General features: G+C 47.1%; 1 protein-coding gene across 7 annotated transcripts in view, besides 2 other annotated features; it reads left to right on the top strand.

The window, feature by feature from the left end:
• GRIN2A (glutamate ionotropic receptor NMDA type subunit 2A) overlaps positions 1,713–17,437 on the top strand; it is a 429,505-nt gene continuing 413,780 nt past the window's right edge. The window contains exons 1-3 of one of the 7 annotated variants that reach the window (NM_000833.5): positions 1,713–1,967; positions 2,554–2,744; positions 4,192–4,623. In NM_000833.5, coding sequence (NP_000824.1) covers positions 4,210–4,623 — 414 coding nt within the window. In that variant the 5' untranslated portion in view covers positions 1,713–1,967; positions 2,554–2,744; positions 4,192–4,209. Of the gene's footprint in view, positions 1,968–2,192; positions 2,745–2,908; positions 3,034–3,998; positions 4,624–17,437 lie in introns of those variants that run through there. The other 6 variants (NM_001134407.3, NM_001134408.2, XM_047433994.1 and 3 more) reach the window with 6 other exon arrangements.
• Positions 2,926–2,985: a silencer, noted in NCBI's record as "silent region_7190". NCBI's record gives its function as "represses an Ori minimal core promoter by ATAC-STARR-seq in GM12878 lymphoblastoid cells {active_cell/tissue: GM12878}" and the evidence as "EXISTENCE:reporter gene assay evidence [ECO:0000049][PMID:35858748]".
• Positions 2,996–3,105: a silencer, noted in NCBI's record as "silent region_7189". NCBI's record gives its function as "represses an Ori minimal core promoter by ATAC-STARR-seq in GM12878 lymphoblastoid cells {active_cell/tissue: GM12878}" and the evidence as "EXISTENCE:reporter gene assay evidence [ECO:0000049][PMID:35858748]".

Below are 17,437 nucleotides of genomic sequence, written 5' to 3'. Positions count from 1 at the left end.
CTCCACACACTGTGCCCCTCTCCTGTCTCCATTTCAGCAGCCACATCCACATTCTTGGAAGAAGTTCCCCTGCTTCCAGGCTACTTCAAGGTGCATGATGTTGATTGAGCATCTACTATGTGCCAGACCTTGTTGACCCCTTTATTAAGGCTACTTCCTTTTCTTTTCAAAATAATCCTGAGAAGTAGATGTTTTTACTGCCCCCCATTTCCAGATTAGTGATCAATAAAGGGAAGTAATATAATGTCCAAAAGTGATATTTTAGTTTGATCCAGGTGCCATAGCAAAACATCATCAACAGCAGAAGTTTATTTCTCTCACTTCTTGAGGCTGGGAGGTCCAAGATGAAGCAGCAGCAGACTCAGTATTTGGGGAGGGCCTAGTTCCTGTTCATAGGCCGATGCCTTCTTGATTAAGTCTCACTTGGTGGAAGGACCTAGCTGACTCTCTGGCATCTCTTTTATAAGACCACAAATCCCATTTTACTCTCATGAAGCCATGAAGTCACCTCCTAAAGTCCCCACCTCCTAATACCATCACCTTGGGAGTTAGGATTTTATCCTATGAATTTGGGGGTGGGAACACACACATTTAGACCGCAGCAGGTGACATTAGGTTAAGTGGAGGAGGCAGGGTTGGAACAGTCATTGCAAAACCTCTTAGAATTTAAGACCCCTTTCCTTCCAAGGCCTGAAAGGCAGACAGGCGTTGGAGATACAGGTGAATATAAAAGGGGCAGAGCTCCTCCCTTGACCATGTATTTCATGCCCAGTCGCTAGAATTCAAGTCAACCAAGCCCTCACACACCCGGGCCGTCCCATGTTCTCTGGCTCACCTCTTCTGGTAGCTTAGAAGTGGCAGCCTCAGGGAGGCTTCTGTTTGGTAGAACTTAGAAGGAAGCATGTGGGAAATGCAGATGTCTTTGCTTTTAGGATTCTGGCTCCCTGAGATCAGAGGAGTGGGTTCCCGTACGGGGGTGGCGAGGCACAGGGAGAAGCATTGGAGCAGACTCTGTGTGTGTGTGTGTGTGTGTGTGTGTGTGTGTGTGTGTGTCGGCGCGCCTGTGCGTGGAGGGGGATAACTGTACCCAGCGCGAGGCACTGGGGGAGGAGGAAGCGGTAGCAGAGATCTGAATAATTGATTCTTCAGCCGCACCAGACGCCCGGGAGCGGGCGGAGAGCGTGGTTCCAACACCACGGACAGCAGCGCGCGCCGCCGCAGGCGCCCCCGTCGCCAGCCAGCCACCTATCCTGGCCTTATTTGCCGCCGTGCGCTCTCGGAACGGGTGGCCGCGCTCCGCGTCGCCGCCGAGGGACTGCGGGGTCTGTCTCGACCCACCTAGGAGAGAGGCTGCGGGCAGGAGACGCTTTCGCCCGCCGGAGCTCGAAGCCTCTTGGGCTTGAGCGGGGGCTACTGCGTCTCGCCGGCTGAGAACAAGTCCCTAAGTTGGTGTGGAGGGCGCCGCTACCTTCCTTCTCCTCTTCCTCGGAGGCGACCGCAGCAGAAAGACGCCCCGGGAACCCGGCTTTGCCAGTGCTGTGAACCAGGGTGTCCAGGCGCTCACCGGACTCCCGCTGGGAAGTGGGGAGCCGAACGCCCGGCGCGGAGCTGGCCCAGCAGCGAAGGGCCCGGAGGGAGCTGCCTTTCCCCGCCCGCGCCTCTCTCGGCCGGGGACCGCGGGGATCCCCGGCCACACGCGAGCGCGCTCCCACACTCACACACACACTCGCCCTCAAACACACCAGCCCGGAGCTGGGTTGCGGAGAGGGTGCTCCGGCGCGCTCAGAGGACCGGGCAGTTGCCGTCCGGAGTGGGGCAGGAAGCGGAGCTAGGGATCTTGGAGGGGAGCTCCTAGGGCTTGGCCGGATCATGGGACCGGGTGAGCGCTGAGAATCGCGGCCGCAGCCATCAGCCCTGGAGATGACCAGGAGCGGCCACTGCTGAGAACTATGTGGAGAGAGGCTGCGGTGAGTGCTAGCGCGGGACGCCGGGCCTGGGAGGCCCCCTTGGGAAGGGGGGAGGTGGGAGGCCTGAAGAGGGAGGAAGCGGCAGGATCACAAGAGGGTCGCTGCGTGGGAAAGATCCACCTCCCTCGGGGAACCGGGACCGCGGGAGCCCGCGTCCTTCCCTCCCCCTCTCCTACTGCTGGCTCGTCACAAACTCAGCCAGCGCCCCCCCACCCTCGTTACCTCCTCTTTCTCTCCCTACCTCCCTCGCTCAGCAGCTCCCGGTCGCACAACTCCCAGCAGCCGGCGCTGGGGAGGTGGTAGGGGGTGCGGGTGGAGGTGCCCAGTTAGCTTCTCGTGGGTGGCCAACCTGGGGCTCCCATTCTCCTGTGCACCCTGGAGTGGAGCTCCCGCTATCAGCCACAGGGGCTGAGGATCCGCACTGGGGGCGTCGTGGGCATCGGGCTTCAGCTTCCCCCCTCTTGTCTAGCCCCCCTGGGCGCATAGGGGGGCTTGTGAGCACTGCAGACTGCAGCCTTCCCCTCAACCCTCCCTCCCCTCGTTGGTGGGCTGACCCTGCCTCTCCTTCTCTCCTCCGCCCCGTTAGAGCCCTGCTGCAGAGCCTCCGGCTGGGATAGCCGCCCCCCGTGGGGGCGATGCGGACAGCGCGGGACAGCCAGGGGAGCGCGCTGGGGCCGCAGCATGCGGGAACCCGCTAAACCCGGTGGCTGCTGAGGCGGCCGAGATGCTCGTGCGCGCAGCGCGCCCCACTGCATCCTCGACCTTCTCGGGCTACAGGTACGTCCCAGAGGGAGATCAGGGCTCCTTGGGCCGGGGAGGAGGGAGACTCGACCGGAGGGAGAGCGGGAGAGGGATCAGGCTAGAGAGGGAGAGGGAAAGCGGGAGGGAGCCCAGCGGCGAAGTGCAGGAGGGGCACCAGGGGGCGCTGCGGCTCCGCGCTCCGCGGCGCTTACCCAGGAACGTCGAGGCCTCTTGGAGTTCGCCTCAACTTCCCCCGGCTCCAGCAGCGTCCGTCCCGAGAGGCGCGCGTCAGGGCACGCGTGCACGACCGTGCTGGTATTTGCAGGTACGCAGGGCTGTGCACCTGCCGCAGTTCATGCGTGTGCACCACCTGAGGACATGTGAGGACTCCGGCTGGCCGTGGGCACCGCTACAGCAGTCTGAGGAAGTGCGCAGAAAAGCGCGCGTGCCTATGAGCGTGTGCGGCCCACTGCCCACGTGCACCTAGGACTTGGCAACAGCGCCCGCAGTAGAAAGGCTAGGGAGGGGCTGTACAGTCCACGTCCGTCTGGGAGCTTCTTGGGAGCCTACCTTTCCCCCTACGCACGTTCTTTGCCAGCTCCTACGCGCTGGCCCGCGGGGGGACGCGCCTACTCTCCAGAATTCAGCATTGCACACGGCGCGCGTGAGAGAGGGTGTGTGTGTGTGAACATGTGTGTGTGCGTGTGTGTGTGCACGTGTGTGTGCACGCGCGCGTGTAGGGGTGAAGGACTCTCCACGGCCCCTTGGCTCGAGGTGGGGCGAGCCCCAAGTTCCCCAGGCACAGCGGAGCCTGGGCCCACCAGGCAGCGTCCTCACTCCCAAGCACTTGGGGTGTACTCTGACTGAGAGGAGCCGGGTCTGTAGTTGGGGCTGGGCGTAGAGCAAAGTGTGTGGTGCACACGACGGGCTCGTAGGGGGCGGGGTCAGCCAACTAGCTGAGCTCTCAAGCTGGGACGCGGGGTCTGGGTGCCGCCTCCGCACGCCCTGCGGGGTCTGTAGTTCGCTCCGCGCCAGCAGGGGGCGGGGTTGATAACTTGGTCCTCTCTATCCCAGGTGGGAGGGGTTGGATGGAGGGTTTATTCTGTGCACCTAGGAGCTTGGTGGGGTACAGAACACGCGCGGCGCTTAGGGTCTGTGGCCCGCGGCGAACTTGGGGAATGCGGTGGGGGATATGGACAGAGATGGGGATGGGGAAGTGCCTGGAGACAGGGGATGAGGAAGCTGGATGCGAGAAGGGGCTGGGGGATGGAGAATTAGCTCGAATTGGAGTTGTGGATAGAGTTAGAGATGGATCGAGGGATGTGGATGGCGTCGGGGACTCGGAATGGAGTCCGTGATCCCAGCAGCCTATCCTGCTGCTGAGTTCCATGCCTGGCTCCTAGAGCAGGAAGCCAAGTTGGTAATCCCTTTCTTCTGGTCGCCTTGCTCACCGCGGCCCTGCCTCTCACTCTTCACCTTGCAGGGACCGTCAGTGGCGACTATGGGCAGAGTGGGCTATTGGACCCTGCTGGTGCTGCCGGCCCTTCTGGTCTGGCGCGGTCCGGCGCCGAGCGCGGCGGCGGAGAAGGGTCCCCCCGCGCTAAATATTGCGGTGATGCTGGGTCACAGCCACGACGTGACAGAGCGCGAACTTCGAACACTGTGGGGCCCCGAGCAGGCGGCGGGGCTGCCCCTGGACGTGAACGTGGTAGCTCTGCTGATGAACCGCACCGACCCCAAGAGCCTCATCACGCACGTGTGCGACCTCATGTCCGGGGCACGCATCCACGGCCTCGTGTTTGGGGACGACACGGACCAGGAGGCCGTAGCCCAGATGCTGGATTTTATCTCCTCCCACACCTTCGTCCCCATCTTGGGCATTCATGGGGGCGCATCTATGATCATGGCTGACAAGGTAAGGCCGGAAACTGATGCCCTGCCAGGACCTGGGAAGCCACCAGCTGCATGGCAGCTGCTGCAGGTCTTCGGACGCCCCTAGAATCTGTCTTGATGTGAAGTGGGGGTGGGGGTGGGAGGGTCGTGGCCACTGGCCCTGGTGAGAACCAGGTCTTGCCTCTCCAACCCAGAAATGAATGGAAATGCCTTTTGCCTTGTTTCTGAAAATGGTGTACACAGGAGCACTTTGGTGTGTGTGTGCCAGGAAGCGCTCAGAAAACTGAGAAGTAGGCTGTGGGGTGGTGGTGGTGGCGGTGGTGGCATGTTTGGAGATTTACGAGTACCATGGGGCACAGAGGTGGGCCCAGGAGCACTGGAGACATATGCTTCCTATTTTCACAATGCCAGTTTTACCTGATTGTTTTGTGGGAAAATGTCCATTTTTTCCTCTTATGGTAAGTGACTAAAACTATTTCTAAAAATTATTAAATGTGGGTAGGTTCTGGAAGAAAATGCAAAGTTTTTAGGTAAAGCACAAAAGGGCAGAAAAAATGTCATGCTTCCTCTGACTCTGCAGTTAGAGGAACAGAGGTGGGGAGTTTGAGAAGCCCTGGGCCAGAGGAGCGGAGGAGAGACCCGTTCCTCAAGGGGAGTGGGTGGGAGTGGAAAGAATTAACTCCAAACCCAGAGCATGGAGGGCCTGGCATTTTCCTTACGTGTTCTTTGTCTGGGGCTCCAAGGCCCTCAGATGAAGGAGTTGGCTCCTGAACAAAGATGGGTCTTGGTACTAAAGTTGGAGAGTCTCAAAATGCAAGAAAGAGTGTACAAAAATCAGTTGGCTCTGAATGAGAGGGAGGGTCTTTTTTGTGGACAGCCTGGGAGCTTTGGTTTGGAGAAGAAGGGAGAGAGATTTGAAGATTTGAAGGCGATGTTATGACAGCCTGGTTTGGGAATTACACAGAAGTGGAGGGAAGGAAGAAGGCTGGAATGAAGAAGTAAAGTGAGGAATGAGAAAAAAGGGAAAGATTGGAGTTGTGTGTGTACTGTCCTCTAAGTCCTGAGAAAAGATTGGGAGTTCAGAAGGCGAGGAAAGAGTAAGTGTACTTGTGTGCCATAGCCTCTAGCCCTGAGACCTTCTTGGAGAGTGTTCCTTAGATGGCAGGAGATATTCTAGTGGAGTGAGCAGACATTCACTGTAGCGCTTTCCTTTTGATGCTCTCAAAGCACTTTTATATTCATCACATCAGCTTTTGCTTCTGTTTCAGCGATTCCTACCAGCTCCTTTGGTAACCGTATTAATTCTTTCAGGTCTCCTGGGCTGCAGCACATTCAGCTGTAGCACACAATTGATGCAGTGTCTTATTAAACATTCATTTTAAATGATTTGCAGGCTAGCAGAATTCCTGTGTGTAGCTGAGCATTTTCCCAGTCACTTCTCAGTTTTGGGGGGCTCCTGTCTGGGAAGAAGAGAGTAGGGACTAGCCATGCTCTGCCACCACTGACAATTTCAGAACTGGAGAGCATCTTAGGGTTTCTTGGAGCATGCTGTAACTTTCAGATGAAGTGACTGAGCCATAGGGGAGTTAAGGGAATTTGCCAAGACCACATAGTGGCTGATGTAGCTAGGTAGCTGAATTTCTGATCCCAAGGTGTGATCTTCCATTCCACTAAATCAAGCCCATACTTTAATGATGTCATCCATCTTCAGGAGGGACAAGGGATCAGTTTCATTTTGTGGGAGGGGCTGAGCATGGAGAGCTATGATGAATCACAGCCTAGAGGGCTTTTGTATGGGAGGGGCCAATCTTCTAAAGAAGGCATTGAGGGAGAAGAACAGCCAGTTTCCAGCCACGCCTTGGAGTATGATTTTGGGATTTAAATATTACCACGGATCCCTTCTTCCTTCTTGAGTTTTTCTAAAGGAGTGATAGACTGGAAACAGTAACCATACTGAAAGTGAAATTTCTGGATCCATGAGGGTTTGGCACAACCCAATGGAGAAATCTGGGAAAAGCTGAATTGGAAAAGGTGGTGTGAGACTGGGAGGTTCCGGGTAGGCTTTGGCTCTTACTTCTAAGTCTCAGTCGATAGGTGTGTGGCTCAGGCTGTCATGTGACTCATTCATCCGAACGTAGGCAGAGAGAAGCCGGAAGAGTGTAGGGTCATGGAAGGGAACCCCCTTGATAGGCAGTGACCCTGCCTGCTAGTGAATCTTGACCCAGTGAATGGCAGGTTGTGACCAACTAGACCAGCAACTGTTCTTCCCTTGAAGGGGGCATTAGAAAGAAAGTTTTGAGAAGTCCAGGGAGTATGGGTGGAAACATTCTTCTCTCCTTTGGGATGAAACTGCGTTTTGGGGATGTGGACCAAAATGTGACCTCACTTAAGAGTAAGAAGAGAAAAGGAATCAGGAAAGGGCAAGAGGAAGATGAGAAAAGACATTTCCAGAGAAATAAAGAATAGAGACTTAAGAGGGGTTGGAGAGAAGAAGAATGAAAGGGTCCATTGGTTCAAAAATGGAGGAGGGGATTCGATACTCCTGATTGTTGTTGGGACTTTCAGAGTTGGTCTTGGAGACATTGGCCACTCTCTGTGATTCTGGTGGAACTGTAGGGAGATGAGGCAAGGTGGCAGGGAAGCAAAGAGCTCAGTGGAGGTAACATCGGGGTATATGTCTGGTCCCCATGTGGAACGGTGATATTGAGAGGAGTTGGGTGATACCAAGAGAAGTTGGTTTAAAAGGTCGTATTTTGAGAAACTGGGGATGTATTTAGAAAGGAGATTGTCTGAGAGGTGAACAGCCCTTCCTTCCATTAGTAACATATATAGATGGCTTGTGCTTCTGCCACATGTTTCATTTAGAGCTGAACATTGAGTTTATTTGTCTCCAAAGAAACAGTCACGGTGCATTGTTTAAAACTCTGCCTTGCCTCGCTTGCAAATGGTATTATGACTACAGCCTCAACCTTCCTAGATTGACAAGGCCTCTGCCTCCTGTTAAAATGATGTTGATTTGGTAAAGTCATCCAGAACACACGTGTGTTATATTTACTTCTACATTGGCAACATGATAGTGCCCCTGCTGGTAAGAATAGTAGTCAATTTGGTTATCAGTTAAAATGAACACACACACACACATTTTTTTAACTTTTTTTATTTTTATTTTTATTTTTACTTTAAGTTCTAGGGTATATGTGCACAACGTGCAGGTTTGTTACATATGTATACATGTGCCATGTTGGTGTGCTGCACCCATTAACTCGTCATTTACATTAGGTATATCTCCTAGTGCTATCCATCCCCCCTCCCCCCACCCCATGACAGGCCCCAGTGTGTGATGTTCCCCTTCCTGTGTCCAAGTGTTCTCATTGTTCAATTCCCACCTATGAGTGAGAACATGCGGTGTTTGGTTTTTTGTCCTTGCGTTAGTTTGCTGAGAATGATGGTTTCCAGCTTCATCCGTGTGCCTACAAAGGACATGAACTCATCCTTTTTTATGGCTGCATAGTATTCCATGGTGTGTATGTGCCACATTTTCCTTCTGTCTGTCTACTTGACCATTGAAGAAAATAACAAAGCCTTATAACAATTGAAATGTCATGCAAATGTGGTGGATTTTTGTGGTGTTAATTTAATTTACAATGGAGGTGCTAATGTTTTGCTCGCATCATTGGGTAGTCTTGCAATATAACTAAATTAGAGGTGAAAATAAGGCTGAGCGAGGTGGTTCACACCTGTAATCCTAGCACTTTGGGAGGCCAAGGCGGGTGGATCACCTGAGGTCAGGAGTTCAAGACCAGCCTGGCCAACATGCTTAAACCCCATCTCTACAAAAATACAAAAATCAGCTGGATGTGGTGGCAGGCCCCTGTAATCCCAGCTACTCAGGAGGCTGAGGCAGGGAGAATTGCATGAACCTGGGAGGTGGAGGTTGCAGCAAGCCAACATCATGCCACTGCGCTCTAGCCTGGGTGACAGAGTGAGACTTTGTCTCAAAAAAAAAAAAAAAAAAAGAAGGAAAATTAAAATCAATAAATAAGAGGTGAAAATAATGCTCGATGTAGATGAAGTTCTAATCTTATCTTGGCTTGGCCATTTTGACCCTGTCTAAGTGAAATACACTCCAGCTGCAGTAATAGTCCCTGGTAAGCCCAGAATATGGGCTAGATCTTTACACTTCTGCTCAGTGTCCTTAACCCTCTCACCCCCCATCACTTCTCCCCATATTCCTAATTGCTCCATGCAGGAAAAGACGAGGCTCAGATTTTAGCTATATCCATCCATGCCAGTTATCACTTGGGTTTCGTTTTCTATGTTATTCCTATGCAAGCCTCATGTCTTCTGCCAGAGTGTAAGTCGTTTGAGGGCAGATTTTTAAAAAAACTGTTTATCTGTATATGTGTATTTGACATGACAAATGCTTCTCTCCTCCGCAGACATATAAAAATAATGCCTTTTCATTGTAGAGCACTTAGGAAATACATTGAAATTTAAAGAAGATAAAAATCTCTCTCCAAATCCTATCACCATGGGTAAACATTACTGACACTTTGGTGTATTTCCTTTTATCTATTTAGTTGCATGCTCAGGATTTTATAGTATATATGGTTTTTCTTATTGTGCTTTGCCCTCTGTGGACTTTCTTAGAGGATTCAAGATTTTCTTTAATTCTGGAGAAAATCTCAGCCGCTATCTGTTGGATTCTTTCTTTCCATCATTCTTTCTATTCTCTCCTTCTGAATATACATGCATATGTATAGTCATGCGTTGCTTCATGGTGGGACACGTTCTGAGAAATGGATCGTTAGGTGATTTAATCGTGTGAACATCACAGAGTGCACTTACACAAACCTAGGTGGTATAGTCTGTTACACACCTAGGCTATGAGCTATAGGCTCTTGCTCCTAGGCTACAAGCCTCTACAGCATACTCTACTGTATGAATGCTATACTAAATATTGTAAGCAACTGTAATACATTGGTGAGTATTTGTGTATCTAAACATATCTAAGCACAGAAAAGGTACAGCAAAAACTTAGAATATAATCTTATGGGACCAGCATTGTGTACTTGTGGTCCATTGTTGACCTAAACCTCCTTATGCAGCACATGACTGTACTATATATATATGTGTAATTTCTCAATCAATTCTCCATGTATCTTGTTTTTTTTTTTTTCCAGTTCTCTGTTTGTGCTGTGTTTGGGAAGGTTTCTTCAATTCTATACTCCAGTTAACTACATCATTTCATTTGTGTCTGGTCTATTATTTTATTTTAGAAAGAAACAGCATGGATGGTCTATTATTTTGACTATCTGTTGAGTTATAGATTTCAACAAGGATATACTTTATTTCCAAGATAATAATTGGTTCCTCTTTACACCTCCCTGTTTTTTTGTGTTATAAATAATGAAAAACTCTTCTCACTTTGTGCATGTAACTCCCTCCCCTGTCCCTTCAAAGATTAAAAAATATGTATTATAAAGTTCTTCTCTGATTGCTCTAGCATCTTTCCTTCTTCAGTTGTGAAGTCCTTCATTTGTAGAATCAGTTAGTTGGATGTTCACATATGTTCTTTAATTTTTGTTTGTGAACTTATTTTCAAGGCAACTTTATGATTTCTTATGCCCTGTATCTGTGAGGGTGTGTATTTTAAGCCAGAGCCCATGTCAGCAGCTCAGGTTTGTACTCTCTTCCCATTCTACGTGGCCTGTGGTACAGGCTTAGGAGTCCATCTCATGTAGGTGACTTCATTTTGGCTCCTTGACACAGATAGGGTCCTGCTTTTTGGCTGTGACTAATGGTGGATGGTGCAGATGTTCCAGCACCATCCACAGCTAGCAGCCTGATTCTAGGTCCAGTTCTTCCCCTTTTTCCCTGGATGGACATTGACACCTCTGTTCTCATGGCTCATATTGGACCTATCCTCCATGGATTATGTGGCTTTGATTCCTACTTGAAACCCTAGAGTCCCGTCTTTCAGTTCATTTATTTTTAGGGATTACTCTCTATTTTTGATCTGTGATTCTCTTTTCTTATTTGCAAGCAATACTATGTAAATTTAAAAATAACTAAAGGTTTCTTTAAAAATTCTATGTCTTAGGAGCAGAAAAGGAAGGTTACTGAGTGTGTTCACTCGGATTTTGACCCCGTTTTATTTCACAACCTGCTTTTATATATTTTTTTAAACTTGATTATGTATTCTTGGAATTTTCCTTTATCACTACATAGACTTCTTAAACTTGATTTTCAATGGCTGCAGAGTGTTCAGTTCATACCACAATTATTTTAACAATTTCTCTCTTTTTCCACCATTAATAATATTCATTTGTGCTCCATAGGGGCATCCTTTTCAGTACCTCACACTTGTCCTGCCCTTTGCGTTTGTTACACGGTAAATGTTTGTTGATTGAATGAATCTAGTCATTGGCTCCGATGCCAGCTTGTTGGAGCTTCCGGATGAACATATCACAATATGGTTCAGGGCATTCGTGCAGTGTTTGTTCCCTCAATGCTGACTGATTTCATAGGTGTTTGCCAATTTTTCTCTTCTCTCTAGTGGGCAGATAATTACCAGCCATCCTGAGGATTAGCATAAATTGGGGGGTTACATACGAAAGGCCTGTAGAGAACTGCTGAGTAACAGCTCATCAGCAGGAGGTGGAAGTTGGTGCTCTTGTAACCTGGCAGCTCCAGAGTTTGGATGCGAGTGATGGGCCTTCCCATTAAACACTGAGAGCTCTCGAAAAGGGCAGACGCACAGATCGGAATGTTGGTGGAGCCCACTCAGCTCCTGCTAAAGAGGCATCAGGTAGTTCCTGGGAGAGTGGGGAGACCTATCTTTAGTCTTTTCCATGAGGCATGTCAGATGCGATCATCAACACCTCCTCACTTAAGTCATCAGAGACCAACAGGCGTCCTCCCGGTAGCGTGACTCACACTCCAAGTAGCCCTCAGGGGTTGCTGACAATCGTTTGGGCCCTGAAGAGCTGTGGTCTGGTGGGTTTGCAGCGGTGTTTATCTTCTTTCTCATAGCCTCAGATGGAAAATGCTACTGTAGGCAGAGTGAGTGGGGAAAGAGAGAGAAAGAGGGCTGTGCAGAAGAGAAACAGGAACTGAATCTCTGGTTTGTAATAGAGAGTTGGTAGCCTCTGATAAGTCATCACATAAATGAGACATTATAAGGTTATTAATTGGTGTCTTTTGTTTGTCCTGCATCCCCCATCCTTGATCTTTCAACTTCTAATTCTTTGCCAACATTTTAAAGTTGGAAGACATCCCATTGAAAAGAAAATCCAAACTTCATGCTGCTTTGAAACAGTCAGAAGGCCTGGCCATACTGGCCCCGATTCCCCCTATGGCAACAGTTGGCTGGAGATGAATCTCATCCCCCAACCCCACCTGCCACGATCCCTGCCCTCCCACTGCCATCCTGGGACAGGACAGGTGCCCCTCCTTTCTTAAATTCCCCAAAGTCACTTCACTTCACTTCACTTCACTCATTTATGTTACATACACAGTATCCTGAAGGCACTTGGCTGTGAGGCCTATGATGTAGGTGAGGGAAGTAGCTCTTCCAGGGGCTGCTCCTGGATAAGACGGCAGATCTATGGCATGTATGCAACCATGGATGCCATGTTCACTGCTGCCATCATTAATCTCCTATAACACCTGGCCCTGTTGAGCCCACTGGCCTTAAGGCCTTCTCAACACAGTACTCCAGGCAGCCATGATGAATCAACTTGAGTTGGAAGATCCAAGAAAACCTTGGACAAAGAGTCTGAAGAATGAAATTCAATTTTCAAAAATACCTGTGTGACCTTAGAAAAGGCCCTTCACCTGTCTGAACCTCTGGTTCTCCTGCAAAATGAGGATTTGGGACAAAATTATCACTAAGATCTCTTCCAGCTCTGAAAATTTTGTGCCTCATCAAGGAAAGACTGGCAACAAACATACCAAAATATGAATAGCAGTTATCTTTGGGGTGGTAGACTCATGGCTGCTTTAATCTTTTAAAGAATGTCATTATCAAGTGGTTAATATATTGTACTTTGAGTTAGATTGCCTGAATTTAAATTCAGGGATTCCACCTCTTACTGGCTGGGTGATCATGGGGAAGTTCTTAATATCTTGAGCCTCAATGTCTTCATCTCTAAAATGGGAACAATAATAGCATCCACTTTGTAGAGTTGTGAGATTTAAATGACATCATGGATATTAGTCCATGTCTCAGTGCCTACCTTATAATAAATGCTTATTACAGGAATGCTATTGTTATTGTGTCTGCATTTTTTAGTTTTTATTTTTCTCCAGTGTACATGTACTTTTTAATAACCAGAAAGAGTGATTAAGGATGATGTGGTTACATGAGGGTATGCTCTGAAAGAAACTGGGAGTGAATCCCACAGAACTGTCAGAAGTGGAGGGTCTAACATGAAATGATTTGTATTTTCTTAACTGAGACAATCAGAAGCTTCCTTTGCCTTTGTAGGACTTGCTGAGAGCTTTATCCTGGCAAACGGAAGCTAAATGTGGCCAGCATGAAAGTGATCGCAGGAGAAGACTATCTCATTGACCTTTGCACTAAATGACTCCACCAACTGGACCATATGTTTGCACGAGGCTTAGGGATTTAGAGTGTGGACATATATAGTTTCTCATTTTATCTCTGCCAAGGATTAATAACTCAGTGATAGCCTGGGAAACCTGGCAGCTCCAACGGTATTTGTTTAAAGAATCTCTATTTTCAGATGAGGAAATAAAGGATCTGGGAGTTGCAGTAATTTGTGCATTGTTCAAAGCTGTAACTAGAACCTAGGGCTTTGGGTTCTTATTCTTTTGCTCTTATTTTATTACCCTTTCAAGTTAATGACTACGAATACATTTGATTTAGGGAAGGGGCTCAGATGCAAGACAAATAACAGATTTTGATGTTCATATTTTGGTTGTCTTGACTAAAAGGATTAAGATGTTGGATGATGGAATTAAAATTCAAAACTTCAGATTGAAGTGATGGAGTCACTCTAAAGACTGCACTGGAGGTTCCCCCCATACCGCACTCAGCTTTAATGAGGTTAACTGACAAAGAAAAATTGTATATATTAAAGGTGTACAACACAATTTTTTTTTTTTTTTTTTTAAAGAAAACAGTGTTTCACTCTGTTGCCCAGGCTGGAGTGCAGTGGCATGATCATAGTTCACTGCAGCCTCAACCTCCTGGGCTTAGGTGATCCTCTCATCTCAGCCTCCCAAGTAGCTAGGAACACAGGCGTGTGCCATGATATCCGGCTAATTTTTAAATTTTTGGTAGAGACGGGGGTCTCACCATGTTGCCCAGGCTGGTCTTGAACTCCTGGACTCAAGCAATCCTCTTCCCTTGGCCTCCCAAAGTGCTGGTATTACAGGCATAAGCCACCGTCCCCAGCCCCAAATGATATTCTGATATACAAGTAAATGTGAGATGATTGTCACCATCAAACTAATTAACATATCCATTACCTCACATGGTTACATTTATTGTGTGATGAGATTACTTAAGATGTGGTATCTTAGCAAATTGCCTGTATACAATATATTTTTGTATTGTCACCATGCTATCACCAGTCACCATGCTATACATTAGGTCTCTAGAACCTATTTACCTTACAAGTGGAAGTTGGTGCCTTTTGACCAACCTCTCTCAATAGTTTGAAGAAGAATTTTCACTATTGCAGAAAGGGGGATGTGAGACTTTGCAACTCACTTAGTCATAATGTGGCTGCCTCTGTTCCAACTATCACATCCAACTCACTTGGGAATGGTTTTTGCAAGGGTCATGAACCGGTGTACTGCACGCTGAATCTGGCTCATAGATGCATTTTGTTTCACCAGTACAGCATTTTTAAATGCTTGAATTTTAATGTCTTTAGACAGCATGCATTTTCAAATTCACTACAGCTGTCCCCACTCTGTTATCCCATATCTAGGGTGATTCATACATTTATGTTAATGATATGGTTTCTGTGAGTATTTGAGATCATGGTGCTCAAATACAGACTTTTTATTTGTTTGTTTGTTTATTTTGTATTGACCAGAAGCTCAGCAGATCCTAAGTGGGGATATGTGGAGGCCACATATCTAGAAATATATGTGGAGGCCACATACGTTGTGGCCTTATAAAAAGTGGAGGCCACATTTATAGAAATATAATGTTTAAATCAAGGGAGGTGATAGCTCCATTATACCTCTTCTGTTGTTTGGAGTGCTTTCAGGTGCAAGTAACAGAGTCTTTGACCAACAGTGTCTTAAACCATTAAAGACATTCAGTTTTTTGCTTAGTAAGGAGCCTCAGATCTAGCTTAGTGACTTAATGTCACATTGAGGACTCAGATCCTTCCCATTCTTCTACTTTGCCTTCCTCAGCTGCTGGTTTATCTGAGTCACAATATGGCTGCTTCTGTTCCAGCCATCACACCTTCACCTCCTAGCATTCAAAACTGGAAAAAAAGGGAGAGAAAAATAAGCCTTCTTCTAGGGCCTCTATCCTTTCATTGGAGTAGACTTCCTCTTACATGTCAGTGGCCAGAACTGGGTCACATTCCCACTGCTCAAACAACAATGATAGAGATCCAGGATTCCTCTCTGAGAATGGGTAATTGCCACTGAGCAAAATTGCTTCTGTTAGCAAGGGTGTGGGGTGATGCTTCAGTGGTACAACTGGTGATGTCTCCAGCAACACTAACACCATTATATGTAGCATTGCACTTAGTTCCGAGGAGTGATATCTAAAGATGGACGTTGAAAAATTGCAATGCATGCAGAAAAAGGGCCTTTAGGATTGCGTAGACTCTAAATGAAATATATTAAGAGTTTCAGAAGAAGTATTTAGGGATGTTTAGCCTGGAGAAGGGAAATCTCAGAGGGGATATGGGAGAAGTGTTCAGATACTCCATGGGCTGTTACAAGGTAGAAGGTTAAGTCTTAATTTTGTTATTGTTCTGGGGACAGACATAAGAGTGAAATTATTATTATTATTATTATTATTATTATTATTATTATTATTATTGTTATTATTTGAGACAGAGTTTTGCTCTTGTCGCCCAGGCTGGAGTTCAATGGCACGATCTTGGTTTACTGCAACCTCTGCCGCCTGGGTTCAAGTGATGCTCCTGCCTCAGCCTCCTGAGTAGCTGGGATTACAGGCACCTGCCACCACCATCAGCTAACTTTGTATTTTTAGTAGAGATGGGGTTTTACCATGTTGGCCAGGCTGGTCTTGAACTCCTGACCTCAGGTGATCCACCCGCTTTGGCCTCCTAAAGTGCTGGACTACAGGCGTTAGCCACGGCACCTGGCCAAGAGTGAAACTATAAGGAGTAAAGTTTCATCTTGATATGAGGAATAAGCTTCGGCAATTAGGTCTCTAACAGAAGACTGTGAGGATTCATGGAATAGGAAGGCTATATCAGGATATGATTGAGCTAACAGTGACTGTCTGTCCCTCAGGAATGAGGTGGAAAATTGGGCTTGCAAGGTTGGGTTGGGTCACCTCTGAGGCTCTTTCTTATTCAAACACTCTGTACCTCTCAAATCCTTGATTTTTAAAAAAAGATCTCCAAGCCTTGGTGCTTTAGGCCAAGCATTTGGCTGAAAACCAACATCCTCACTTTTTCCAAGTGTGTGAGTAATTCAGTATAAATTTGCCTGGCATGGAGGAGGAATTTATAATCCCTGCATCATCACCTCAAGTTCCCAAAAGACTTTACATTATCCTGAAGGTAGAAGATATTTGAAAAGCAGACAACCTATGTATATATCAACTCACACACACATATATAAATAAAAACATAAGTAGGTCAGCCGGCCTCATATTTACTAGTGAAAATGTTTTTGGCTAAGAAGCTCATCTACAGAAGACAATGTTTAGAATAATTGCCAATGATCTCGAAATGGGGTGTTTTTGCACTTGTATCAGGTTAATCATTATTACTTAATAAAGTATATTCAGCTTGTTTTGCACATCTTACTGTAGTAATATGTTTGTATTCTAAAGAGCCAGCCAGACTCCTCTCTGGTTTTTCAGTTGACAAATTATTCTTTTTAGTCAGTTGTATTCTCCTGCATTTGGAACATCTGCTTATGGCAGAAAATACTCTAGATACTATTCTGTTGTTTATCCACTTCTCCTATTCCCCCACATCCCCCCAAAGAAAAACGAACCTGAAATTGCTTTCCAAATGCTTTCACTTTCTGTTCAAATTTTGGAACTTTCCATGGGATGGCAATTGATATATTGTCTCCATTTTTTAAACTTTGAAATAGATGTTGATGTACAGAGCGAAAAAACCTAAATAATACAATAGAGCATTCAGAGAAAGAATATTTGCTCCATTAATGCATCGTAGATCTTCGAACTCAGGTTCCCTTCCATGGAGGTGGCTATGTTACCCATTTCAGGAGGGAAAATATTAATTGGAATGGAAATTTCTTTCTGTTTGTGATTTTTTTTTGCTGAAGTCGGCATATGGAAAGGATCTTCTCTTAAACTACAATCCCTGACTTGAAAACTACAATCCCTGACTTGAAAAAGGTTAATTGTTTCCATTGGTCCCTAACAGTGACTCTTTTGCCAAAACAAAAATAAACTCACTCTAAAATGTAAGTTGTGATTTCCAAAAATCACTGACACCTTGAAGCTTGGCTCACAAACTCACTCAAAGAATTTAAGATAATTTGGGGTGATTTTGGGGGGAGTTGGGGACCACTTTAAAATCTAATGAAGGCTACGGACCCTTCCAGAGGAGTGCGTGTTCATAAACATGCAGTCAAAATTATGTGCAATTTCAGGGGATCACAGA

This window comes from Homo sapiens, chromosome 16, assembly GCF_000001405.40.
Source record: "Homo sapiens chromosome 16, GRCh38.p14 Primary Assembly".
Taxonomy (NCBI): Eukaryota; Metazoa; Chordata; class Mammalia; order Primates; family Hominidae; genus Homo; species Homo sapiens.
This window is presented reverse-complemented; position numbering and strand designations above follow the sequence as displayed.